The 27,590-nt window shown below is 46.0% G+C and overlaps 1 protein-coding gene and 1 long non-coding RNA gene across 6 annotated transcripts in view; one reads left to right on the top strand and one right to left on the bottom strand.

Annotated features, from left to right (window-relative positions):
• LOC107984079 (uncharacterized) overlaps positions 1-24,602 on the bottom strand; it is a 44,804-nt gene extending 20,202 nt beyond the window's left edge. For both annotated transcript variants that reach the window (XR_001740724.2, XR_001740721.2), the window contains exon 1: positions 23,660-24,602. This is a non-coding gene — a long non-coding RNA (uncharacterized LOC107984079). The remainder of the gene's footprint in view (positions 1-23,659) is intronic.
• ACOX2 (acyl-CoA oxidase 2) overlaps positions 22,784-27,590 on the top strand; it is a 32,055-nt gene continuing 27,248 nt past the window's right edge. Inside the window, exons 1-5 of one of the 4 annotated variants that reach the window (NM_003500.4) lie at positions 22,784-22,855; positions 24,777-25,027; positions 25,452-25,614; positions 25,829-25,980; positions 26,422-26,529. In NM_003500.4, coding sequence (NP_003491.1) covers positions 24,868-25,027; positions 25,452-25,614; positions 25,829-25,980; positions 26,422-26,529 — 583 coding nt within the window. In that variant the 5' untranslated portion in view covers positions 22,784-22,855; positions 24,777-24,867. Of the gene's footprint in view, positions 23,715-24,733; positions 25,028-25,365; positions 25,399-25,451; positions 25,615-25,828; positions 25,981-26,421; positions 26,530-27,590 lie in introns of those variants that run through there. The other 3 variants (XM_005265505.2, XM_047449042.1, XM_006713340.4) reach the window with 3 other exon arrangements.

Raw genomic sequence — 27,590 nt, 5'->3', positions numbered from 1 at the left:
TCTACTTCCTAGAAAGGACCTTATAGAGAGATGAGCAGGACTGCCCAATGAGGAACACCAGTCATGTTCCCAGGTTGCCTGGCAATAGCTAAGTGAGCCAGGGCTCCCTCCTCCAAGGAAGGGTTTCCCATGGGATCAGGGCACCTAAGCTCAACCTTCCCATTGTCCAAGATAAAACGCTCACTCCTCCTGCAAAGCCAACCTCAGGCATGCCCCGTAGAGGGAGAGAGCTGTGGGGGCACAGGCAGACTGGCATATCCAGGGATGCTGAAAACACTCCCCTCAACACAAACACCAGCCAGCCCTCTGCCCCCAAGTCAGTCACTTGTGTTCGTCTTAATCATTAAGCCACAGCCTGGGGCAACTGTAAATTATGAGTGTTGGTTCGGGGTTCTTGATTTTTTTTTTTTTTTTTTTTTTTTTTTGAGACAAGTTCTCACTCTGCTGCCTAGGCTGGAGATCAGTGGAACGATCATGACTCACTGTAACCTCCAACTCCTAGGCTCAACCAATCCTCCTGCCTCAGCCTCCCAAGTAGCTGGAACTACAGGTGCACACCACCACATCCAGCTAACTTTTTTTCTTTTTTCTTTTTTTTTAGAGATAGGAGTCTTGTGATGTTGCCTAGGCTGGTCTCAAACTCCTGGGCACAAGCGATCCTCCCACCTTAGCCTCCCCAAAGTGCTGGGATTACAGGCGAGAGCCACCATGCCAGCCTGATTAAAGGGTGATCACAGAGTAAAAGAAGGGCTTTGTAATGGGAAGATGGGAAACAGAAAATTATTTCAGAATTCCAGTTTGTTTTGGTTTTTGTTTTGTTTTTTTGTGACAAAGTCTCACTCTGTTGCCCAGGCTAGAATGCAGCTGCAACCTCCACCTCCCAAGTTCAAGCAATTCTCGTGCCTCAGCCTGCCGAGTAGTTGGGATTACAGGCATGTGCCACCATGCCCAGCTAATTTTTGTATTTTTAGTAGAGATGGGGTTTTGCCATGTTGGCCAGGTTGGTCTCGAACTCCTGACCTCAAGTGATTCGCCCACCTCGGCCTCCCAAAGTGCTGGGATTACAGGCGCGAGCCACTGTGCCTGGTCCAGAACCCCAATTTGAAGAGAATTAGCATGACTGAGTAAAACAAAGAAGGCCTGAGCCTCCCAGAAGGCAAGGCAGAAAAGGAAATCCAATCTTTATCTATAAACATAGAAGGAGTCATAGAAAGCAGAACAATTCAGTGATTTTCAAATTTTGCTTCATGGGGGAAGTGAGGAGTGACACCAAGCCATTTATAATCTCCTTGCCCTCATCACCACTTTTCTCAACTTTAATTAGAGCAGCTCAATGTTTGTTTCCATGTATTTCCATTTAAACACAGATCCCATGGCCAAAAAAAGACAAAAACCAGGCTGGACACACTGGCTCATGCCTGTAATCCCAACACTTTGGGAGGCCGAGGCAGGCAGATCATGAGGTCAGGAGATCAAGACCATCCTGGCCAACATGGTGAAACCCTGTCTCTACTAAAATGCGAAAAACTAGCGGGCGCGGTGGCAGGCGCCTGTAGTCCCAGCTACTCAGGAGGCTGAGGCAGGGGAATCGCTTGAACGCGGGAGGCAGAGCTTGCAGTGAGCCAAGATCATGCCACTACACCCCAGCCTGGTGACAGAGCGAGACTCCGTCTCAAAAAAAAAAAAAAAAAAAAAAAAAAGACAAAAACCAGAAAAATTCCAAAACCTAGCTTCAAATCCTGTCTCGACCATCCACTAGCAACAATTTTAGGAAAAACTGCACTTCAGTTTCCTAAACTGTAAAACAGATGTCAAAGTACTTACTCCACAGGGTCTTCCGAATTAAATGAGAGTTTGTTTGTAAAGCAATGAGGCCTAGGCCTGGAATATAGTAAGAACTCAACCTATAGTGGCTGTCAAAGGATATGTCCCCCCAAAGTATCCTCTTTGACGTAAAATTATTTTTGAGTTGAAGGCAATTAAGAAGCAGCAAACACAGGAAAACTCCCTCCACCCTCCCCCTTATCTGCCTAGAGGCAGGATATAAATTCACCTTTACTGGAGACAACTCTAGACTCCTAAGAGCTCAGAGATGGCACCAGAGGAATCTGCAAGGAAACCTCACTCCAGTGGTTTCCTCCCATATATTTACCTTCCTGAGCTTCCAGCTGTTGGAAGCCTAAAACTGCTTACCTTTGTCCTGTCATTTCTCCACAGATTTATTGTTCTTTGTTGAAGAGGTTACATAAGCCAGAGTTCTAAGCTACTGCTTTGAGTTACTTTTCACTGAAGTTGCGGCCACGTGATATGCATTGCACGCGTCACTAAACTGTTTTTCTCGTCAATCTGTCTTGTTACAGGGGTCCGTCCCAACTAAGAACTCATGAGGATTGAGGAAAAATTCTTTTCCTAGCTGTAGCAAAAATTATTTTGCTCCACTGTTATTAGCAATCATGCAGGCTTGCCAGAAAAGAAAAACTTCTTTTTAACATAAAATGCCAAGAGGAATCAGAGCTCAAATCTGCCCGAGAAAGGACATTAATTACATAATGTTCTGTTTTCAAAACAGCATTTTTATGGGAAAGGCAGGAACATTCTTCCTGTGATTCTATATTGCTAAAATCCCAGGTGAACTGCTCAGCTCTGGTCCTGCTGGGGCAGTGGGGTGGGGAGACAAGAGCTAATTCTATGGCCCAGACCTGGATTCAAGCCCCAGCTCTGCCACTTATTTGTCACAAGCCTGGGCAACTTGCTGAACCTCATTTTCCATTTTAAACATCTGTGACAAGGGTAATGAGAGCGCACTCATTGAACATCTAGTGCCTGTGCCAGGAACTGTGCTCAGCACTTTATATGAATTCTCTCATTTAATCCCCAAGACTGTCATTACCCCCATTTTATCTGAACCCACATCTGTCTGGCTTTATTATCCTGGCAGCACTCGCTGGTGGAGGCTGCAGGAGGATGTTTTGCAAAGCACCCACATTCAAGCTTTCCCATCTGTCACCAGAAATATTCTGCAAGCATGCTGAGGCCAAACAGCCTTCCCCCTTCCTCCTTCCCTGCCGGCAGGCAGCCCCGCCTTTACCAATCTGGCAGAGTAGGCCCCTGGGACAAGAATCCCAGCCCCATCTCACTCACGGCTCTTAGAAAAGACAGTGGCTGGCCAGGCGTGGTGGCTCACACCTATAATCCCAGCACTTTGGGAGGCCAAGCAGGTGGATCGCCTGAGGTCAGAAGCTCGAGACCAGCCTGTCTAACATAGTGAAACGCCATCTCTACTAAAAACACAAAAATTAGCCAGGCATGGTGATGGGTGTCTGAAATCCCAGCTACTCAGGAGGCTGAAGCAGGAGAATTGCTTGAACCCAAGAGGCGGAGGTTGCAGTGAGCTGAGATCGTGCCACTGCACTCCAGCCTGGGTGACAGAGCAAGACTCCATCTCAAAAAAAAAAAAAAAGAAGAAGAAAGAAAAAGAAAAAAAGAAAAGACAGTGGCCAAATGGGGCACAGAAGTCCACATCTCTGCCCTTAGCTCAGGAAACTGGGGGAAGGAGAGAGATATGTGTTGAGGATGGTTATGTGTCCAGCAGTTTCTGGGACATTTACACCAGTGCCTAGTGCAGGGCTGGACACATTTCAAGGATGGCACTTCCTTCTCCCTCCCTCGCTCTCTCTTTTATGGATATCTTGACAAAGTGACACAGCACGATTATTAACAGCTTAGGCTACAAATTCGCGCAGACTTTAGATTCTTGGGAAAGGTAGGGGATCCAGCTCTGGCACCCCCACAGCTGGTGACCCGGGACAAGTGACTTAACATCTCTGAGTTCCTCATCTGTCAAATGGTAGTTCCAAGAGTACCAGCCTCAAAGATTGTTAGAGGACTTAGTTAACAAGCATAAAGTACTTGGCAAGCACCAAGCACAGGGCCAGCACTCAGGGAAAGTTCATTATCATCCTCTTCCTGTCCCTGGTAGCTCCATTCCCTCATGTCTCTTGCTGACCAGACCCTTCCAGGTCCTGTGTCCACTCACTTACTTTTCTCAGTCCCTAAACTTGTCTGACATCCATCCCTCCCCAATGGCTGGCCCACCTCAAGACCCCCTGCCCTTCTCCCAGCCCTTATTTTTTGGGGGGAGGTATCACCTCACACCTTCTGACACCAGCTCCGAGTGCCCCCATATTATCTAACCTTTTCACTGTTATTTTAAAACAACTCCTGGGAATTTCTCTTCTGCTTGAGTCTGCTAACCCCAAACCCCAAAAAGCCAAGGGCATGGGTGTAGCATGGCTTCCCCTATCTGGTTCTCCTCTCCAGAGAAGACTCTGCCTCTAAGCCCCCTTGTCCTTAGGCAGAGTCCTGTGACTCGTTCTGGTCAATGAAATAGGAGCAGGAGTGTGATGAGGGTCACTTCTGGGCTGAGGCAGTGAGAAGACCCAGGGATCCTCAGGTCTCCCTCTTCCCCTTGGTGGCAAGTGCAGAGGCTGAGCATTAAGATGGAGAAGCATAAAGTCAAGCAGGCTGGCTCACTAACTCACCACACAGAGGACAGCTGTCCTGATGCTTATTATGCCAGCAGTGGACTTGGCATGAGGGAGGAAAAAACTTGTGTTTAGCCACTCAGATTTGGGAGTGCTGTATTACTGCAGCACAGTCTAGCTCATTCTGCCTAACGAAGTAACACAAGCTAAAGTCCCAAAAGCCTAAGGAATTTCTATATTGGAGTACATAGCTAGAAAAAAAAATGGGTAACATTGGATACGATGTTTTAAACAAGTAAATAAATGGAATAAATGCTAATTTAACTCAAAATATGTGATTTATTCCAAGAAAATTAATAAAACACGAATAGGAATAAAAGACACTACAGGGAAAGAATGAAAGACAAATGTGCTTTTCTGCGTGAGGAAGATGAACCGACATTGTCAAGTCTGTCTGTTAATCTAGGGAGATTTTAATCTTTATTAGATTTTAAGGCCAGGTATGGTGGCTCATGCCTGTAATCCCAGAACTTTGGGAGGCCGAGGTGGGTGGATCACCTGAGGTCGGGAGTTAGAGACCAGCCTGGCCAACATGGTGAAATCCCGTCTCTACTAAAAATACAAAAATTAGCTGGGTGTGGTGGTGAGCACCTGTAATCCCAGCTACTTGGGAGGCTGAGGCAGGAGAATTACTTTAACCCAGGAGGCGGAGGTTGCAGTGAGCCAAAATCATGCCACTGCACTCCAGCCTGGGTGACAGAGAAAGACCTCGTCTCAGAAAAAAAAAAAGAAAAAGAGAGAGAAGCTAAATGTTAATAGCCAAGACAATGGGGAAACTGTCTTCAGGGCATGTCCAAGACCATCACAGCAGCCCCTCCCATCACAGGCCCAGAAGCCTAGGAGGGAAAAATGGTTTCATGGATCATGCCCAGAGCCCTACTGCTCTGTGTAGGCTCAGGATATGGTGTCCCAGCTGCTCCAGCTCCAGCCACAGCTAAAGGGGGCCAAGGTACAGCTTGGGTCATCACTTCAGAGGAAGCAAGCCCCAGGCCTTGGCAACTTCCATATGGTGTTGGGCCTGTAGGTGTGCAGAAGGTGAGAATTGAGCTTTGGGAACCTCCACCTAGATTTCAGAGGATGTATGGAAACAAATGGATGTCCACGCAGAAGTCTGCTGCAGGGGCAGAGCCCTCATGGAAAACCTCTACTAGGGCAGGCAGAGAGAAAATGTGGGGTTGGAGCCCCTACACAGAGTCCCCACTGGAGCACTGCCTAGTGAAGCTGTAAAAAGGGGGCCACCATACTCCAAACCCCAGAATGGTAGATCCACCAACAGCTGCACCATCCACTTGGAAAAACCACAGACACTCAATGCCAGCCCATGAAAGCACCCGCAGGGGCTGTACCCTGCAGAGCCACAGGGGCGGGACTGCCCAATGCCTCGGAAGCCCACCCTTTGTATCAGTGTGGCCTGGATGTGAGACATGGAGTCAAAGGAGATTATTTTGGAGCTTTAAGATTTGGCTGGGCACGGTGGCTCACGCCTGTAATCCCAGCACTTTGGGAGGCCGAGGCGGGGGGATCAGGAGGTCAGGAGATTGAGACCATCCTGGCTAACACGGTGAAACCCCGTCTCTACTAAAAATACAAAAAATTAGGCGGGTGTGGTGGCAGGTGCCTGTAGTCCCAGCTACATGGGAGGCTGAGGTAGGAGAATGGCATGAACCCCGGAGGCAGAGCTTGCAGTGAGCCAAGATCGCACCACTGCACTCCAGCACTCCAGCCTGGGCAACAGAGTGAGACTCCGTCTCAAAAAAATAAAATAAAATAAAATAAAATAAAATAAAATAAAAGATTTAATGACTGCCCTGCTGGGTTTTGGATTTGCATAAGGCCTGTAGCCTCTTTGTTTTAGCCAATTTCTCCCATTTGGAATGGGAGCATTTACCCAATGCCTGTACTCCCATTGTGTCTTGGAAATAACTAACTTGTTTTTTATTTTACAGTCTCATAAGCAGAAGGGACTTGCCTTATCTCAGAAGAGACTTTGGACTTGGACTTTTGAGTTAATGCTGGAATGAGTTAAGACTTTGGGGGACTGTTGGGAAGGCATGATTGGTTTTGAAATGTGAGAAGGACAAGAGATTTGGGAGGGGCCAGAGGTGGAATGATATGGTTTGACTCTGTATCCCCACCCAAATCTCATGTCAAATTGTAATCCCCATGTGTCAGGGGAGGGACCTGGTAGGAGGTGACTGGATCATGGGAGTGGATTTTCCTCATGCTGTTCTCATGATAGCGAGTGAGTTCTCACCAGATCTAATGGTTTAAAAGTATGGCACTTCCCCCTTTGCTCTCTCTGTCTCTCCTGCCACCATGTAAGATGTGACTTGCCTCCCCTTCACCTTCCACCATGATTGTAAGTTGCCTCCCCAGCCATGCAGAACTGTCAGTCAGTTAAACCTCTTTTCTTTCCATATTACCCAGTCTCAAGTAGTTCTTTATAGCAGTGTGAAAATGGACTAATACAGGGATACATAATATTAAAAGATGCAAATTATGACATCAAGAACAAATGGAGCAACTTCAACAAAATGGTAAAGTAGAAGCACTTCACTCTCCTCCACTGAAAACCAAAAAAGAAATCCAAGACAAATGTCATCAACACCATCCCAGAACTCAAATCAGAGACTAGGACAATCCCTGGGGCCACAGAAAAGTGTAAAACTCTGAGGAGAGAGTAAGAGAAACAAACTTCTTTATCCATGACACTTTCTCCCTGACTCACAGTTTCTACACTGGAAAAAGTAAGATTGAGGCAGACAGCCAGCTTCCCCACCATCTTGGGTTCCCTTGGAGAAAACCCATTCCTGCTTCAACCAGCATCCCAAGTGCCTATAAGAAGAAAAACCCCTAAGGGAAGCTAGTAACAAAAAGGGGATGTGGGACTAAAAACTCCAGTCCATGAAACTCTGCCCTTTATCTCAGCCAAAGGCTGTTCAGCAGCACCATGCTGTAGGAGGTACACACCATGGGTCTTCTGGGCATGAACCCTTAGCCAGCCTTCCCCCACAGCTGAGGTATTGCTTTTGAGAACCCCCTGTTTAGGATGGGTAGTGCTCTGACCATTTGCAAGAGTCAAGACAAACCTTAGCTTCAGGCACCATCTACTGCAACAACAACAAAAAAAGGCAGTAATCTAGCATTTTGGGGACTCATGGTAACTGCAAAGAACCTTTAAACAAACAAACCCTAGAAAGGCCAAAATAAGCCAGACAGAGAAGACTGGAATAAATGAGAAGACAGGAATAAATGACTACTCCTTCAATGCGAAGCCATAGATATATATCTACAAGAAACAATAGGAAAAAAGGAAATGTAACCTTCCCAAATGGACAAACTAAGAAGCCAGTGACTGACCCTAACAAGACAACAATGTGTGCATTCTTAGATCAAAAATTCAAAATAACGATTCTAAGGAAACTGAACAAACTCCAAGATAACACAGAAGAGCTATTACGAAATTTGTTAGAGAAATTTAACAAAGAGACTTATTTATTTATTTAAGAGTTAGAGTTTGTTTTATTCAGAGTCTTACTAAGGATTACAACCTGGGAGAGTCTTTCCGAGAGTTTCAGCCAAAATTTTGTAATCTGCTAAACTGAGCTTTTTAAAGAAGGAAAAATAAAATACTTTCCAGACAAGCAAACCCTAAGGAAATTCACCACCACTTGACCAGCCTTACAAGAAATGCTCAAAGGAGTTCTAAACATGGAAATGAAAAGGTAATACTCTTCATCATAAAAGCACACAAAAGTATAAAACTCACAGATCCTGTAAAACAATTACATAATTGAAAATACAAAGCAACGAGGTAACAGTTAACATTATCGACGTGGCTGGCAGAGAAGGGAAGATGGAGCCATCATTTTGAACACGTCTAGTCCCAGCATTTTTCACAGTAGCCAAGATATGGAAACAATCTAAATGTCCGTGGAGAGATGAGTGGATAAAGAAAATGCAATATAGGCTGGGTGTGGTGGCTTACACCTGTAATCCCAGCACTTTGGAAGGCCGAGATGGGTGGATCACCTGAGGTCAGGAGTTCAAGACCGGCCTGGGCAGCAAGGTGAAACCCCATCTCTACTAAAAATATAAAAATTAGCTGGGTGCGGTGGCCTGTGCCTGTAGTCCCATCTACTTGGGAGGCTGAGGCAGGAGAATTGCTTGAGCCCGGGAGGTGGAGGTTGCAGTGAGCCGAGATTGTGCCATTGCACTTCAGCCTGGGTGACAAAGCAAGACTCTGTCTAAAAAAAAAAAAAGTAGAGAAAAAGAAAACGCTCTCTCCCTCTCCCTCTCCCTCTCCCTCTCTCTCTCCCCACGGTCTCCCTCTCATGCGGAGCCGAAGCTGGACTGTACTGCTGCCATCTCGGCTCACTGCAACCTCCCTGCCTGATTCTCCTGCCTCAGTCTGCCGAATGCCTGCGATTGCAGGCACGCGCCGCCACGCCTGACTGGTTTTGGTGGAGATGGGGTTTCGCTGTGTTGGCCGGGCCGGTCTCCAGCCCCTAACCGCGAGTGATCCGCCAACCTCGGCCTCCCGAGGTGCCGGGATTGCAGACGGAGTCTCGTTCACTCAGTGCTCAATGGTGCCCAGGCTGGAGTGCAGTGGCGTGATCTCGGCTCGCTACAACCTCCACCTCCCAGCCGCCTGCCTTGGCCTCCCAAAGTGCCGAGATTGCAGCCTCTGCCCGGCCGCCACCCCGTCTGGGAAGTGAGGAGTGTCTCTGCCTGGCCGCCCATCGTCTGGGATGTGAGGAGCCCCTCTGCCTGGCTGCCCAGTCTGGAAAGTGAGGAGCGTCTCCGCCCGGCCGCCATCCCATCTAGGAAGTGAGGAGCGCCTCTTCCCAGCCGCCATCACATCTAGGAAGTGAGGAGCGTCTCTGCCCTGCCGCCCATCGTCTGAGATGTGGGGAGCGCCTCTGCCCCGCTGCCCCATCTGGGATGTGAGGAGCGCCTCTGCCCGGCCGAGACCCCGTCTGGGAGGTGAGGAGCGTCTCTGCCCGGCCGCCCCGTCTGAGAAGTGAGGAGACCCTCTGCCTGGCAACCACCCCGTCTGAGAAGTGAGGAGCCCCTCTGCCCGGCAGCTGCCCCGTCTGAGAAGTGAGGAGCCTCTCCGCCCGGCAGCCACCCCATCTGGGAAGTGAGGAGCGTCTCCGCCCGGCAGCCACCCCGTCCGGGAGGGAGGTGGGGGGTCAGCCCCCCCGCCCGGCCAGCCATGACGTCTGGGAGGGAGGTGTGGGGGTCAGCCCCCCGCCCGGCCAGCCGCCCCGTCCGGGAGGTGAGGGGCGCCTCTGCCCGGCCGCCCCTACTGGGAAGTGAGGAGCCCCTCAGCCCGGCCAGCCACCCCGTCCGGGAGGGAGGTGGGGGGGTCAGCCCTCCGCCCGGCCAGCCGCCCCGTCTGGGAGGTGAGGGGCGCCTCTGCCCGGCCGCCCCTACTGGGAAGTGAGGAGCCCCTCTGCCCGGCCAGCCGCCCCGTCCGGGAGGGAGGTAGGGGGGTCAGCCCTCCGCCCGGCCAGCCGCCCCGTCTGGGAGGTGAGGGGCGCCTCTGCCCGGCCGCCCCTACTGGGAAGTGAGGAGCCCCTCTGCCCGGCCAGCCGCCCCGTCCGGGAGGGAGGTGGGGGGGTCGGCCCCCCGCCCGGCCAGCCGCCCCATCCGGGAGGGAGGTGGAGGGGTCAGCCCCCCGCCCGGCCAGCCGCCCCGTCCGGGAGGGAGGTGGGGGGGGTCAGCCCCCCCGCCCGGCCAGCCGCCCCGTCCGGGAGGTGAGGGGCGCCTCTGCCCGGCCGCCCCTACTGGGAAGTGAGGAGCCCCTCTGCCCGGCCACCACCCCGTCTGGGAGGTGTGCCCAACAGCTCATTGAGAACGGGCCAGGATGACAATGGCGGCTTTGTGGAATAGAAAGGCGGGAAAGGTGGGGAAAAGATTGAGAAATCGGATGGTTGCCGTGTCTGTGTAGAAAGAAGTAGAAATGGGAGACTTTTCATTTTGTTCTGCACTAAGAAAAATTCCTCTGCCTTGGGATCCTGTTGATCTGTGACCTTACCCCCAACCCTGTGCTCTCTGAAACATGTGCTGTGTCCACTCAGGGTTAAATGGATTAAGGGCGGTGCAAGATGTGCTTTGTTAAACAGATGCTTGAAGGCAGCATGCTCGTTAAGAGTCATCACCAATCCCTAATCTCAAGTAATCAGGGACACAAACACTGCGGAAGGCCGCAGGGTCCTCTGCCTAGGAAAACCAGAGACCTTTGTTCACTTGTTTATCTGCTGACCTTCCCTCCACTATTGTCCCATGACCCTGCCAAATCCCCCTCTGTGAGAAACACCCAAGAATTATCAATAAAAAAATAAATTAAAAAAAAAAAAAAAAAACATTATCATAGAAACAAATCCTCACATATCAATATTAACCTTGCACATAATGATCTAAATGCTCCACTTAAAATATATAGACTGGCAGAATGTATTTTTAAAAAAAACACAAGATCTAACCATATGCTGCTTAAAAGAAGCCCACTTAACAAGTAAAGACATTTACAGACTCAAAATAAAGGGGTGGAAAGAGATACTCCACACAAATAGAAGCCAAAGGCAAGCAATGTGGCTATACTTACATCAAGTAAAACAGACTTTAGATCACCAAAAGTAAAAAAAGGTGAAGAAAGTTATTATATAATAATAAAGAAATCAATTCAACAAGAAGATGTAACAATCCTAAATATATATGCACCCAACACTGGAGTATCCAGATTCATAAAACAAATACTATGACCTAGAAAATAAGATAGGCAGCAACACAATAATAGCAGGGGACTTCACACCCCATTGATGGCACATAGACAGATCACTGAGGCAGAAAATCAATAAAGAAACTCTGCACTTAAACTAGCTCTAGACCAAATGGACCTAACAGACATTTATAGAACATTCTACCCTAAAAGTGCAGAATATACATTTTTCTCATTGGCACATGGAGGATTCTCCAAAAGAGATCATAAGCTTGGCCATAAAGCAGGTCTCAAATACAAAAACTAAAAATAAAAATCATATCAAATATCTTCTTGGACCACAATGGAATAAAACTAGAAATCAATACCAAGGAACTCTCAAAACTATACAAATACATAAAAATCAAACAGTCCACTCCTGAATGATTTTGGGGTAAATAATGAAATTAAGACAAAAATTTAAATTTTTGTTTGTTTGTTTGTTTGTTTGAGATGGATTTTTGCTCTTGTTGCCCAGGCTAGAGTGCAATGGCACAATCTTGGCTCACTGCAACCTCTGCCTCATGGGTTCAAGCGATTCTCCTGCCTCAGCCTCCCTAGTAGCTGGGATTACAGGTGCCTGCCACCACGCCCAGCTAATTTTTTGTATGTTTAGTAGAGATGGCGTTTCACCATGTTGGCCAGGCTGGTCTCTAACTCCCGACCTCAGGTGATCCACCCACCTCGGCCTCCCAAAGTTCTGGGATTACAGGCGTGAGCCAACGCACCCAGCCTAAAAATGTTTTAATGAATGAAAATAGAGGCCATGTGCAGTGGCTCACACCTCTAATCCCAGCATTCTGGAGACTGACGTGGGCAGATTTCTTGTGCCCAGGAGTGAGACCGGCCTGGGCAGCATAGCAAAACCCCATCTCTATTAAAAATACAAAAAATCAGCCGGACATGGTGGCACATGCCTGTAGTCTCGGCTACTCTGGAGGCTGAGGAGGGAGAATTACCTGAGCTCAGGAGGTTGAGGCTGCAGTGAGCCAAGATCGCACCACTAGCACTCCAGCCTGGGAAACCAGAGTGAGACCCTGTTGAGAGGGAAAGAGAGAGACAGAGAGAGAGACAGAGAGACAGAGGTAAAACAGAGATGTGGCATACCAAAGCCTCTGAGATACAACAAAAGCAGTACTAAGAGGAAAATATAAAGCATTAAATACCTGCCTCAAAAACATAGATCTCAAATTAACAACCTAACATCTCACCTCTAGCAACTAGAAAAGCAAGAATAAACCAAACCCAAAGGTAGCAGAAGAAAATAAATAAAGATTAGAGCAGAACTAAATGGTATTGAGACTAAAAAACAATACAAAGGATCAATGAAACAAAAAGCTGATTCTTTGAAAAGATAAACAAAATTGATAGGCCACTAGCTAGATTAACCAAGGGGAAAAAAAGAATATTCAAATAAACACAATCCGAAATGATAAAGGTGGTGTCACAACCGATATCACAGAAATACAAAAGTTCATCAGAGACTACTGAGCATCTCTACATGCACAAACTAGAAAATCTAGAAGAAATGGGTAAATTTCTGGAAATATGCAACTTCCTAAGACTGAACCAGGAAGAAGTAGAAATCTTGAACTGACCAATAATGAGTAGTGAAGTTAAGTCAATAATTTTAAAAATCTCCAAACAAAAACAAAAACCCAGGACTAGATGGCTTCACAGCCAAATTTTACCTATGTACAAAGAACTGCTACCAATCCTACTGAAACTATTCTAAAAAATCAAGGAGGAGGGAATCCTCCCTAACTCATTGTATGATGCTAATATTACACTGATACCAAAGCCAGGTAAGGACACAACATAAAAAGAAAACTACAGGCCAATACCCCTGATTAACATAGATGCAGAAATCCTTCCCAAAATACTAGCAAACTGAATCCAAGAGCACATCGAAAAGATAATACACCACAATCAAGTGAGTTTTATTCTAAGGATGTGAAGACCATTCAACATACACAAATACATAAATGTTATTCACCACATAAAGAGAATTTAAAACTATGTGATCATCCCAGTAGATGCAGAAAAAGCATTCCATAAAAGCCAGCATCCCTTTAAGATAGGAAGAAAAAAAAACCTCAACAAACTAGGCATCAAAAGAACATACTTCAAAATAATAAAAGCCATATACAACAAATCCATAGCCAACCTCATACTGAATGGGAAAAAGTTGAAATCATTCCCGCTAAGAACTGGAACAAGGCAAAGATGCCCACTTGCACCAATCCTATCTAACATAGTACTGGAAGTCCTAGCCAGAGCAATAAGGCAAGAGAAAGAAATAAGAGGCATCCAAACTGGAAAATAGGAAGTCAGATTATCTCTGTTTGCTGACACGATCTTATCCCTAGAAAACCCTAAAGACTCCTCCAAAAGACTCCTAGATGTCATAAAGTTTCAGGATACAAAACAATGTACAAAAATCACTAGCATTTCTAAATACATCAATAACAATCAAGCTGAGAACCAAATTAAGAATTCAATCACATTTACAATAGCTACAAAAAATATATATCGGCTGGGCACGGTGGCTCACACCTGTAACCCCAGCACTTTGGGAGGCCGAGGCAGGCGGATCACGAGGTCAGGAGATCGACACCATCCTGGCTAACATGGTGAAAACCCGTCTCTATTAAAAATACAGAAAAATTAGCCGGATGTGGTGGCGGGCACCTGTAGTCCCAGCTACTCAGGAGGCTGAGGCAGGAGAATGGCATGAACCTGGGAGGCGGAGCTTGCAGTGAGCCAAGATCATGCCATTGCTCTTCAGCCTGGGCAACACAGATGAGACTCCGTCTAAAAAAAAAAAAAAAATATATATATATATATATGTGTGTGTATATATATATGTGTGTGCATATATATGTGTGTGTGTATATATATGTGTATATATATATATGTGTGTGTGTGTATATATATGTGTGTGTATATATATATGTATATATATATAGCAAGGAAATAAAATCAACCAAGGAAATAAAAGATCTCTACAAAGAGAACTACAAAATATTGATAAAAGGAATTGTAGATGACACAAATGGAAAAACAGCCCATACTCACAGAATGGAAGAATCAATATCATTAAAATGACCATACTGCCCAAAGCAATCTACAGATTCACACTATTCCTATCAAGTTGCCAATGTCATTTTTCATAGAATTTTTAAAAATCTTAAAATTTATATGGAACCAAAAAAAGAGCCTGATAGCTAAGGCAATCCTAAGCAAACAGACAGAGCTGGAGGCATCACCTCACCTGACTTCAAATTATACTGCAAGGCTACAGTAATCAAAACAGCATGGTATTGGTATAAAAACAGACACATGGGTCAATAAAATAGAGAAGACATGCCAGAAATAAGACCACATACCTACAGACAACTGATCTTCAGCAAAGTCAACAAAAATATACAGTAGAGAAAGAACACTCTAGTCAATAAATGGTGCTGGGAAAATTGAACAGCCATATGCAGAAGAAAGAAGCTAGGCCCATATCTCTTACCATATACAAAAATTAACATAAAATACATTAAAGATTTAAATGTAAGACCTGAAACTATAAAAATCCTGGAAGAAAATTTGAGAAAAACTCTTCTGGACATTGTCCTAGGCAAAGAATTTATGACTAAGTCCTCAAAAACAAACTCAACGAAAACAAAAATAGACAAACGGGACTTAATTAAATTAAAAGTTCTGCACAAAAAAGAAATAACAACAGACTAAACAGACAACCTACAGAATGGGAAAAAATATTTGTAAGTGATGCATCCAACAAAGGGAAAATAGCCAGAATCTACAAGGAACTCAATCAACTCAACAAGAAAAAAAAACAAATAACCCCATTAAAAAGTGGGCAAAGGACACGAACAGACATTTTTCAAAAGAAGACACGTAAGCGGCCAAGAAACATGAAAAAAATGCTCAACATCACTAATCATCAGAGTAAGACAAATTAAAGCCACAATGAGACACCATCTTACACCAGTCAGAAAGGCTATTATTTAAAAGTCAAAAATCCACAGATGTTGGCAAGGATGCAGAGAAAAGGGAACACTTGCACACTATTGGTCAGACTGTAAATTAATACAAGCTCTACAGAAAACAGTACGGAGATTTCTCAAAGAACTAACAATAAAACTACCATTCAATCCAGCAATCCCACTACTAGGTATCTAACCAAAGGAAAAGAAGTCATTATACCAAAAACATACATGCACTTTTATGTTTATTGCAGCATTATTCTCAATGGCTAAGTCATAGACTCAAACTAAGCATCCATCTACAGATTATGAAATAAAGAAAATGTGATATACTTATCACAAAAAATATATATAGTTTAGTTATCACAAAAACATATATTTAAACACATATATGTTTTTGTTGAGTTTGTTTTTGAGGACTTAATCATAAATTCTTTGCATATATATTTACTATATGTATATATAAAAAACAGAACACTACTTATCCATAAAAGAGAATGAAATGTTGCTGGTGCAGTGGCTCACGCCTGTAATCCCAGCACTTTGGGAGGCCGAGGCGGGAGGATCACAAGGTCAAGAGATCAAGACCATCCTGGCCAAAATGGTGAAACCCCGTCTCCACGAAAAATACAAAAATTAGCTGAGCATGGAAGCACGTGTCTGGAGTCCCAGCTACTTGGGAGGCTGAGGCAGGAGAATCGCTTGAACCTGGGAGGCGGGGGTTGCAGTGAGTCAAGATCTCACCACTGCACTCCAGCCTGGCAACAGAGTGAGACTCCATCTCAAAAAAAAAAAAAGAATGAAATATTTTTTACAGCAACACAGATGGAACTGGAGTCCGTTATCCTAATGAAATAACTCAGAAACAGAAAGGCAAATACTGAGTGTTCTTACTTGTAAGTGGGAGCTAAACAATGGGTACACATGGACATACACAGTGGAATAATGAACATTTGCGGCTCCAAAAGGTGGGAGGGCGGGATGGGGCGAGGGATGAAAAATTACCTATTGAGTACAATGTACACTGTTAGGGCGATGAGTACACTAAAAGCCCAGACTTTCCCACTCCATGATACATCCATGTAACTAAATTCCACTTGGACCCCTTAATCTATAAAAAGAAAAAAGTATTTCCCAGACAAACAAAAGCATCACCACTAGACCCATCTTACTAGAAATGCTAAAGGGAGTTCTTCAGTCTGAAAGAAAAGAATGCTAATGTGCAAAACATAAACATTTGAAGGTATAAAACTCACTGGCAAAAGTTAGTACACAAAGTAATTCAGAATACTCTACTATTATAATTGTGGTATATAATCCACTCATATCTCTCGTGTCAATACTAAAAGAAAAATCTATCAAAAATAAAAACTACAGCAACCTGTCAAAAGGTAGGCAAAACAAAAAGATGTAAATTGAGAAAACAAAAACGAAAATGTGGGAAGATGGAGTTAAAGTGTTAAAGATGGAGTGTTTTAGTTGCCCTTTGTTTCTTTTCTTTGTGATCATAGTTAGATTGTCATCTGTTTGAAATAACTTGTTATATCTACAGGATGTGTTTTGTAAGCCTCATAGTAACCACAAGCAAAAATCTATAATAGGTACACTAAAAATAAAAGGCAACAAATTAAAACATACTTCCAGAGAAAATGATTTAACCCCAAAGTACGACAGTAGGAAAGAAAGAGAGGAGTCACAAAACAGAAAATAAGTAACAAAATGGCAGTATTACGTTCTTACCTATTAATAATAAAATTCAATGTAAATTAACTGAATTCTCCAATTAAAAGACATGGAAGCCAGATGCTGTGATATGTACCTGTAACCCCAGCTACTTAGAAGGCTGAGGTAGGAAGATTGCTTGAGCCCAGGAGTTCAAGACCAGCCTGGGCAACACAGTGAGACCCTGCCTCTAAAACAATTTTTTAAATTTAAATTTAAAAAGACATAGAGAGGGGCCAGGCACAGTGGCTCACACCTGTAATCCCAGCACTTTGGATGGCCGAGGCAGGTGGATCATCTGAGGTCAGGAGTTCAAGACTAACCTGGCCAACATGGTGAAACCCTGTCTCTACTAAAAACACAAAAATTAGCCGGGCATGGTGGCACATGCCTGTAATCCCAGACACTTGGGAGGCTGAGGCAGGAGAATCACTTGAACCCGGGAGGTGGAGGTTGCAGTGAGCCAAGATCGTGCCACTGCACTCCAGCCTGGGCAACAAGAATAAAACTCCATCTCAAATAAATAAATAAATATAAAAAGACATAGAGTGGCTAAATGGATTAAGAAAACAAGACCCAACTACTATATACTGCCTACAAGAAATTCACTTCACCATTAAAGACACATGTAGCCTGAAAGTGAAGGAATGGAAAAAGATATGCCACACAAAGGAAAAACAAAAAAGAGCAGGAGTCGCTATACTTGCAGCAGATAAAATGGATTTCAAATCAAAGAATGTAAAAAGAGACAAGGAAGGTCACTAGAGGGCCAGGTGTAGTGGCTCACACCTCTATCCCAGCTCTTTGGGAGTCTGAGGTGGACAAATCACTTGAGGCCAGGAGTTCAAGACCAGCCTGGCCAACATATCAAAACCCCATCTTTACTAAAAATACAAAAGATAACTGGGCATGGTGGCGGGTACCTGTAATCCCAGCTACTCAGGAGGCTGAGGCACAAAAATCACTTGAGCCTGGGAGGCAGAATTTTCAGCAAGCCGAGATCTCACCACTGCACTCCAACCTAGGCAGCAGAGTGAGACCCTGTCACACACACACGCACACATGCACACAAAGATACACACAGACTGAGAGTAAAGGGGTGGAAAAAGACATTCCATGCTAATGGCAACCAAAAGAGTGCAGGAAAAGTAATACTTGTATCAGATAAAATAGACTTTAAGTCAAAAACTGTAAAAAGAGACAAAGAAGGTCATTATAAAATGATAGAGAAGTCAATTCATCAAGAGGATATAACAATCATATATGCACCCAACATCAGAATACACACACACACACACACACACACACACACACACACAGGCTTAGGAGTCCAGCTGCATGACTCCTAAACCATAATTTCTAATCTTGTAGCTAATTTGTTAGTCCTGCAAAGGCAGTCTAGTCCTCATGCAAGAAAGGAGTTTATTTTGGGAAAGGGCTGTTACTTTCTTTGTTCAAAGTTAAACTATAAATTCAGTTCCTCCCAAAATCAGTTTGGCCTATGCCCAGGAATGAACAAGGACAGTTTGGAGGTTAGAAGCAAGATGGAGTCAGTTAGGTCAGATTTCTTTGATTGTCATCATTTTCTCAGTTACAATGTTTGCAAAGGTGGTTTCAATAACATAATACAATATGTACAACATGGTGACTGTAATTAACAGCAATGTATTATATACTTGAAAATTGCTAAGAGAGTAGATTTTAAGTGTTCTTACCACAAAAAATTAGTATGTGAGGTAATGAATGTGTAAATTAGCTTGATTTAGCAATTCCACAATGCATATACATATTTCAAAACACCTGATTGTCCATGATAAAGATATACTATCTTTATTTTTCAATGATAAATAAGTTAAATATTTTTAAAGTATAAAAATAGGAAGAATACAAAATAGCATTTTAATACTACCTATGAGGAATCAAATTTCTGATTATCAGCAAAACAATATCACTGACAAGTGGATGCATTTTAATAAACCAAAAAAACTTTATATACATAGGGTATGGTAAACTAAATATTTAAAAAAAACCAAGAACTTAATTTCAATCCAATCACAAGAAAACAGCAGACAAATTCAAATTGAAAGACATTTACAAAACACCTGACCAGTACTCTTCAAAGTATCATGGTCATAAAAGACAAAGAAAGACCGAGGAACTATACTGTTTCATGTAGACAGGACAACTAACTACATGCAACGTGAGATCCTGAATTCAATCCTAAACCAGGAAAAGAACATTAGTGGGAAAACTAGCAAAACTCAATATGCAGAAAAATGTTAACTCAGCAATATTTCAAACCCTGCATAGTCCAAAGAAAGGACTGGCACCTGACAGCTCCTGGGAGGTAACCTCTATGCCCTTGGAATATCCTGCCTGAAAACAGTATCTTTGTATACTTGGGGCCTTGGGCCATGCCAGGCAGTTTATACTAATAATGTGATTCCGAGTGGGTCCTTAGGCCACACTCTATGAGTTTCACATCTGGAGTCGATGGAGACTGAGTAGCTAAGGTCAGCCACACAAGCATCCCATGGCTCTGTGATGACTGCAATAACTCTGGACACCAAGGTGTTGCCAGATGGTGCCATGCAGTTCCAGGCTCTTGGTGTCCCAAACGAAAAGCTGGACTGGGCCGGGTGCTGTGGCTCATGCCTATAATCCCAGCACTTTGGGAGGCTGAGGCGTGCGGATCATTTGAGGTCAGAAGTTCAAGACCAGCCTGACCAACATGGTGAAACCCTGTCTCTACTAAAAATACAAAAATTAGCCGGGCATGGTGGCACATGCCTGTAATCCCAGCTACTCAGGAGGCTGGGGGAAGAGAATTGCTTGAACCCAGGAGGCAGAGGTTGCAGTGAGCCACTGCATTCCAGCCTGGGCAATAGAGCAAGGCTCTGTCTCAAAAACAAAAAAACAAAAAAACCAAAAAACTGGACGTGATACACACAAGTAGCAAAGCCAGCAGCAATAGTTTATTAAGCACAGCATTATACTCTCAAAGAGGGCAGAGTGGGCTGACCTCTGCGAGATGAGATCAGCATCAGTTTCCTGGGCTTGTGGTCTTCTTATGTGTTCTTTTTTCCCTTTCTTTTCCCAAGGCTGCCGAGTCTCTAGCTAGTGTCTGCCTTTTGATTGATAGGCATGTTGCTTACTTTGTTTGGCCCTTGTGCGCTTGCACGTCGCCTCCGTTCCATAATCTCAAGTACATGCATGATATGCAGTCCATATGCATGAGCTTTAATGAGCTGATTATCATACGGGGTCATGTTAAAGATGCTTTTTCGCTCTAATGAGCATGCCTATCTCGGAGGAGCTGCCCCTTACTGGTTTGGTCAGGATCTTGCCAGCCATGGGGTCTCTTTACTCAGTTTTTTATCTTACTTTTGTTTTGGCTGCTTAACTTCTGCTTCTTCTCTTGCTTCTTGCTCACTCACCCCTTCACCTTGCTTCTGCTTTCGCTCATTCCACCCTTTATCCAACCTCCAATTCCTTCTGCTGTTCTCCTGCCTCAAAAGTGTGCTTCCCTGGTTGTCAATACTTCGTGCATATTGTAAACATCGTTGTTGGGAGAATTAAATGCTGTCCATACAACACCACTGGGAGAGGACACCTAGAAGCTCAGTCTATTCTCTCCTAGACTTCGTGCTATGTACCTTTTCCTTCTACTGATTTTAATCTGTAATCTTTTGCTGTAATAAACTGTAACCATGAGTATTACAGTTTCTTCTTGTTTGTTCTAGAGGCAAAGTCTCACTCTGTCACCCAGGCTAGAGTATAGTGGTTCCATTATAGCTCACTGCAGCTTCGAACTTCTGGGCCCAAGCAATCCTTCCACTGCATCCTCCCAAAGAGCTAGCACTACAGGCACACACCACCACACTGGGCTAATTTTTACATCTTTTTTGGTAGAGACAGGGTCTTGCTATGTTGTCCAGGCTGGTCTCAAACTCCTGGCCTCAAGTGATCCTCAAGCCTCAACCTCCCAAAGCAATGGAATTATAGGCGTGAGCCATCACGCCTGGCTCAGTATAACAGTTTCTAAGTTCTATGAGTCTTCCTAGCAAATCACTGGACCTGAGGTTGATCTTGGAGAACCTCTGACACACTCAAATAAGTTCTGAAGATTAGCTGACAATATTGCAGCAGTGTTAATGGCTTGGTTTCATAATTGTACCTTAGAAGAAGCTGAGTGAAGGATATACAAGAACTTTTTGCAGCTTTCTGAAATTCTAAAGTTATTTCAAAATAAAAAGTTAAACACAAAGAACAAGGAGACAAGTGTGATCATTGTTAGTGCTGGGTGTTAGGTACATGCAGGTTCATTATATTTTTCTCTCCACTTTTGTACAAGTTTGAAATATTTTGTAATTTAAAAAGCCTTTTTAAGCTAGAGAATTCAAGATTTCAGTGCAACAAATCAAAATGATCACATCCAAAACATACAGAACAGGGTCAGCTTCAAAGCGGATGAGAAAACAATTTAAACATGGAGAGTTTATTAAAAAGCCTTGCTCCAAGGGCCCCTGAGCAAGGCTTTCTTCACTGGGCACTTCCTGCAATCCAAGCCTTTCTCTATGGCAGAGAGGAACTAAGTCATTGCCCATGGTCAGTGATAGCATAAATCCTTGGCGGAGATGAGTCCAGGTGTAAGTAAGAACTTTCACCTCCAAACAGTGGGGCCAAGACCACCTTCCCTGAAACCACTGCCCACAGCAATGAGGACTGCCAGGAGTCTGAGCCCCACAGCTCCAGAAGGACCTACTAGGTGATAAGTTGCAAAGCTTGGGCCACAGGTCCTGCCTCTTCCTACAGACACAAGCTAGACACTACCTTGGGGATATGATGGGGTGCTGTGAGGCTCCTTACTGAGCAAATACCTTGCATTACAGGGGAGGCCAAGGCCCAGAAAGGAGTACACCTGCTCAGAGTCAACATAGCTCAGAAGTCCTGCCAGAACAGGAGCCTTGATCTCCTACTGGCCCCTTGATTTCTTTCCCAGTCTTACACAAATGTGTTACGTAATCTACTTATTGTGCAAACCCAAACAAAGTGACATCCCTCCCTGAGCCTGTTTCCTTACCTGCAAAATGGGGAGCCGCATCTGACTTTCCAAGGTGGTTATGCAGGGAGGGAACCTCTAAGCCTCTCATTCCTCTCACTAAGACCCAGCTCTCATCTGGATCCCACACACTACAGATGGATGCTTCACAAATATTTTTCCAGGGAATGTCAGGGGATGCTAAGCATAAGACAAGCCATATTTTAGAGCAGAAACATGGGGAGAGAGGAAAAACGTACACCTTACAGAGCAATCCTTTCACATGAGGACCATCTCAGGGGAGCCTATTAAGCTCGTGTGATATTAACAGCTTGAGTGCCTGAAGGGCACACAGTGAAAGATCAGGGAAGACCAGGATATCACTTTGGAAACACTGCTGGGGTACACAGCTTTTTGGTACAAGTAGTGTCAAAGGAATCCCTGGCTTTGAGATGTAAGGGCTCCAACCTCCCAGAAGTCCTCCCAGGGCAGCCCCAGCGACAGGCACAAAGGTCACACCCATGCAGGAAGAGAGGGAGGAAGGAGAGGAGCTCCATAAGCCCAGACAAGGGCTTGAGAGCAGACAAGGGCTTGAGAGCAGACAAGGGCTTGAGAGCAGACAAGGGCTTGAGAGCTGGCCAAGCAGTTTCTCTCAGCTTCTGTGTTCCAGCCCCTATGTGGGAGGAGAGAAGGGCAGGACCACAAGCCTGCCAGAGGCTGCGGCCTACAGCCGGGGAGAGGCCAGCCCGGCCTACAGTGCGGACACAGGACAGAGGGGAGCCAGGTGAGCCAGGTTTTTGGGCAGGGAGGGACTGGGAGACCCCAGAGGAGAGGGCTGCCCCCATGATGACCCTGTCCGCAGCTCCGAGAGACCCTGAGCAAGGCTTTCTTCACTGGGCACCTCCTGCAAATCAGGCCCTGCACTAAGTGTTAGGGTCACGGCATGACAGTGACAAAGATCCCGGCCCTCTTGCAGTTTCTGTGTTAGTAGCAGGGAGATGGAAGTAAACAAAAACATATGAAATGAGTAAATGATCTCAAATGTCAGAAGGGGATAAGTGAAAAGAGAAAAAGGAGAGCAGAGTGAGGAGGACAGGGAATGCCGGGGGAGGGGGCTTGGGGTTTTAAAGAGGGTGGCCTCTTTAAGGTTAAATGAGGTTCAATGCAAAAAGCCCTAGTGACATTTGAAGAAAGGGTGTTCTGGGCAGATGGAGATGCCCTAGCAAATGCTGGCAGTGGCAGGGAGGCCTGGAGCATTCAGAACAGCAAGGAGGCAGTGGCAGCAGAGCAAGGAAAAGAGGTAAGGCAGGACGAGAGGAGCCGCACTAGGGGCACTTGCAGGACTCCGGGGGGCAGAGGATGGGGCCCCTTGCCAGCACCCCCACAGCCCTGCTGGGGGTATTGGTTTGAAAGCCTCATATGAATCATTTGCTACATGTGGTTGCATGACCCTTATAAAGTCTCCTCCCTTTCCAAGGCCCACATCCTCTCCATAAAATGGTAATAACAGCAGTGCATCTGTCAGGTTGAGGTCAGGAAGGAAGGGGATCAAAAGCATGGCAGCCTGCCGGAGAGATTTACAACATACCTGCTGCAAGCTAGGAAATGCAGAGCTGGCCTCCCAGGCCTTGTGGGAGGAACATGTAAGCAAATAAGAACTTGTCCCTAACCCTAGAGCACCCAGGGAACGAGGGAGCTGAACTTTGTTCAGAGAGAACAGCAGGGGCAAAGGGTAGGAAGAGAATGAGTGGAGGCCAGGGATGAGGGCAGTAAGTTGACATAGGAGAGAGGTGAGTGGAGTAGGGTTGGGTAGACACAGCAAGGACTCCATTCCACAAACAGTGGGCCCCAAGGAGCAGATTCCAAGCAGGAGAGGAAAACAATGTGATTTGCAGTTCAAGAGTTCACCTGGCAGCTGGGAGAACAAATAAGAGGAACACTGAGGCCAAGTAAGAGATAACAGTGGCCTGGATGCTAGCCAAAGAGATAGCAAGGAGCAGATGGACTCAAGAGACTTGTGAAATAGGATGGACTGCACCTCATGGTTGCCTCACTGTGGAGGAATAGGGGCTTCTCAGAGGCCAAGCACTTGCCATGAAGGAGACAGGGTCCAACCTGGGTATGAAAGACACTCAGGGGCTCCAGGGGAACACTTCACAGGCAGGAAGAAGGCTTCCTCCCTTCAGTTCCACAATATACCTGCAGGGCTCATAGAAATGGAGCTGAGTGATCCTAGAACTTATGAGCAGTTTAATGAGACCAAGGTGCCCCCAGCAATCCTCCACAGTGGAGCTGTAGTATGGACAAGTCATGTGCTTTGTGGTCAGACCCCATCCAACTCCTGGCCATCTCCAGCTGTGTGGCTAGGGGCCACTCAACCTCTCCAGGATTATTTTCTTCAGGTGTAAGCTTCACTGACTTTTTTGTGAAGATTTCCCTAGGCAATTCATGTAACTCAAACTGCAGTGGATAGAGCCCAATCTTTGGGGTCAGGCCCTGTCCAATTTTGGCTAACAAGTATTGAACAAACATGTACCAAGCAATGGCTGCATACCATGCCTACCATGCACACAGTGCCTGGTCCACAGCCAGTGTCCACAGGGGGAGTGGGGAGGTGGAGTGGCATTCAGGTACTTAGGGATGTCTTTCTTCTACCAACCAGCCCTGGCTGACACCCAGCCCTAGGCAGTTCCTCTTGCACACAGGTTCTTTGCACTGACCAATGCTGAGAGCAGACCCTCGGAGCAGCCGGGTTGGAAGTGTCTCTCCATAGTCACCAGACAGATCCAGGATAGGATGGGCAGCCCAGTGCACCGAGTGTCATTGGGGGATACCTGGAGCAGGCAAATGCACCCCGACATAGAGAGCGAGAGGTATATGCAGTCCTTTGACGTGGAACGGCTCACCAACATCCTTGATGGAGGTGCCCAGAACACTGCACTCCGCAGGAAAGTTGGTAAGGGGAAGCTGGGGAATGGGACATCTGTTTTATGCCCCATGCTTCTCTTGTAAGAAGAGTCCTTCATTAGCAGTTCTGCTTCCAAATAACAAACTTTGCCCTTGAAATTCCACTGTTAGAGATTCATTCCTTCGAACTGTAAAGACAATCTTCACATGTCAATATTGCCTGAGCCCACCTAGGGGATAGAAGAGTCCTAGGCAGCAGAAGACCTGGATTCTGGTCCTAAAATTCTGCCACTGCATAGCTTTGTAACCTTGGGCAATTCACTTTCCCACCTTGGTCCTCAGTTTTGTCATCTGTAAAATAACAATAATGTCTGACTTCCTTTCCAGATCCATGAAGCAAGTGGGTGAGAAGATTTCAAGGTGCCAGAAACCTCACCCAGGTCCCTAAGCCCTCTGTTCTCTGTCCTCTGCAGAGAGCATCATCCACAGTTACCCGGAGTTTAGCTGTAAGGACAATTATTTCATGACCCAGAATGAGCGTTATAAGGCTGCCATGCGGAGGGCATTCCACATCCGGTTGATAGCTCGGCGCCTGGGTTGGTTAGAAGATGGTCGTGAATTAGGCTACGCTTACAGGTGCTCACTCCTCGAGCAGCCCCACTAGAGAGGGATCTACCTGGGATCACCTGGAAACCCCCTAGCCCCATGAGCCATTTCCCCCAACAAAGGGAAGACTTGTTGGGAAACCAGGATGCTAGGTGCCCTTTATCTCCTGTACTCTGCTCAGGCAGGGGGTACCTGGGCCCCTGTCTCCAATAAGCTACTCAACTACAGCATCTCTCCCCAACAGAGCCCTTTCTGGAGACGTGGCCTTAAATATACACAGAGTCTTCGTGAGAGCCCTCAGGAGCCTGGGCTCAGAGGAGCAGATTGCCAAATGGGACCCACTCTGCAAAAACATCCAGATCATCGCAACGTATGCACAGACAGAGTTGGGACATGGTGAGCTAGGACTGCTGCGTGTGGTGTTTAGGTTGTGCACTGCAAAACTCCAGAGGGCCCATTTACATCTAGGTAGTCATAGGTTCATATGCTCCGAGGGACATATGTTTAATAAGAAAACATTCCAGCAGCTGGCAGTCAAGGGTCCTGAGGAAGGGGTGCCACCTTCTAATTTGCACGTATTGTATGAGCTCCCAGTGGGGCAAGTCATTCCTTCTGGAAACATCAGCAGCCACCCCTTCTCATGGACTGGCTATAGGGGACTGTGTGTCCCACACACAGCCCACAGATGAAAGGGGAGAACTGCCTGCAAGTACAGCTGGGAGCTGGGCCCCACTCCATACTGCGCTGATGCCTAAGAGTTCAGACCCACCTAGAAGCAGCTTCACAGGTAAGAACCCCACCTCAGGCCAATGTCTAACACCTCTCCTTGATCCTAAGGGACATATCTTCAGGGCCTGGAGACTGAAGCCACCTATGACGCAGCCACCCAGGAGTTTGTGATACACAGCCCCACGCTGACTGCCACCAAATGGTGGCCTGGAGACTGTGAGTATACATCCACCCCCCTTCCTTAACTCTCCCCAAGTAGAAGAATGTTGGAGGGCAGAGTAGCACTGGCTTTGAGGTCCAACAGACCTCAGATTGATTTTCTGTTCTAGGCTGCTGACCTTGGGCAAGTCAGTTCACCAACCTGAGCCTCAGGTTCTTACTCTGTAAAATAGGTGGGATATTAAACATTTCATTAGTGAGTGGCTGGAAAGTCCCCAAAGGAACTTTGAAGTAGAGGAGACAATCGATCCATGAGAGACAAGGCCTCACTCACACACACACGCACAAACACACACACTTGGTCTAGTCCTAGGCACTCCTCACAACCCCGGTTCCTCTCATCTCCCGAGTTAGTGGCAGAGCTTGCCACCAGCCAGAGCACAGGCCCTGTGATGACACAGTGGAAAGAATACGCCTGCCTGCCCCTGCTGCAGACACCCAGGAAGGCTCACGCCCATCACCAGCCCCCATCAGGCCACCAACGCCGTACCTCCTGCTGTGGCCACCAGGTGGCGGCCACATCAAGCGTCCCTGAGGCTTGGTGATTTACCAAGCCCCAACGAGGGATTTCCCCTTCCTCAAACTTGAGAATTTCACCTCCAAGGACACATCTGTGGCACTTGGGGACCCACACCTTGTGTGGAAAAAATTAAAACAAATATGCTGAGCCCAACTAAAGCAGGAGAGTGACAGAGATGAGAGACACATAGAGAGAGGGAGACACAGGCAGAGACCAGAGACATAAGAGAGAGACATGAGCCGGGTGCGGTGGCTCATGCCTATAATCCCAGCACTTTGGGATGCCGAGGTGAGTGGATCACCTGAGGTCAGGAGTTTGAACCAGCCTGACCAATATCATTAAACCTCATCTCTACTAAAAATACAAAAATTAGTCGTGTGTGGTGGCGGGCATCTGTAGTCCCACCTACTCGGGAGGCTGAGACAGGAGAATTGCTTGAACCTGGGAGGCAGAGGCTGCAATGAGCCGAGCTCAGGCCATTGCACTCCAGCCTGGCGAAAGAGTGAGACTCTGTCTCAAAAACAAAAGAAAGAAAGAA

This window comes from Homo sapiens, chromosome 3 (genome assembly GCF_000001405.40).
Source record: "Homo sapiens chromosome 3, GRCh38.p14 Primary Assembly".
NCBI lineage: Eukaryota > Metazoa > Chordata > Mammalia > Primates > Hominidae > Homo > Homo sapiens.
This window is presented reverse-complemented; position numbering and strand designations above follow the sequence as displayed.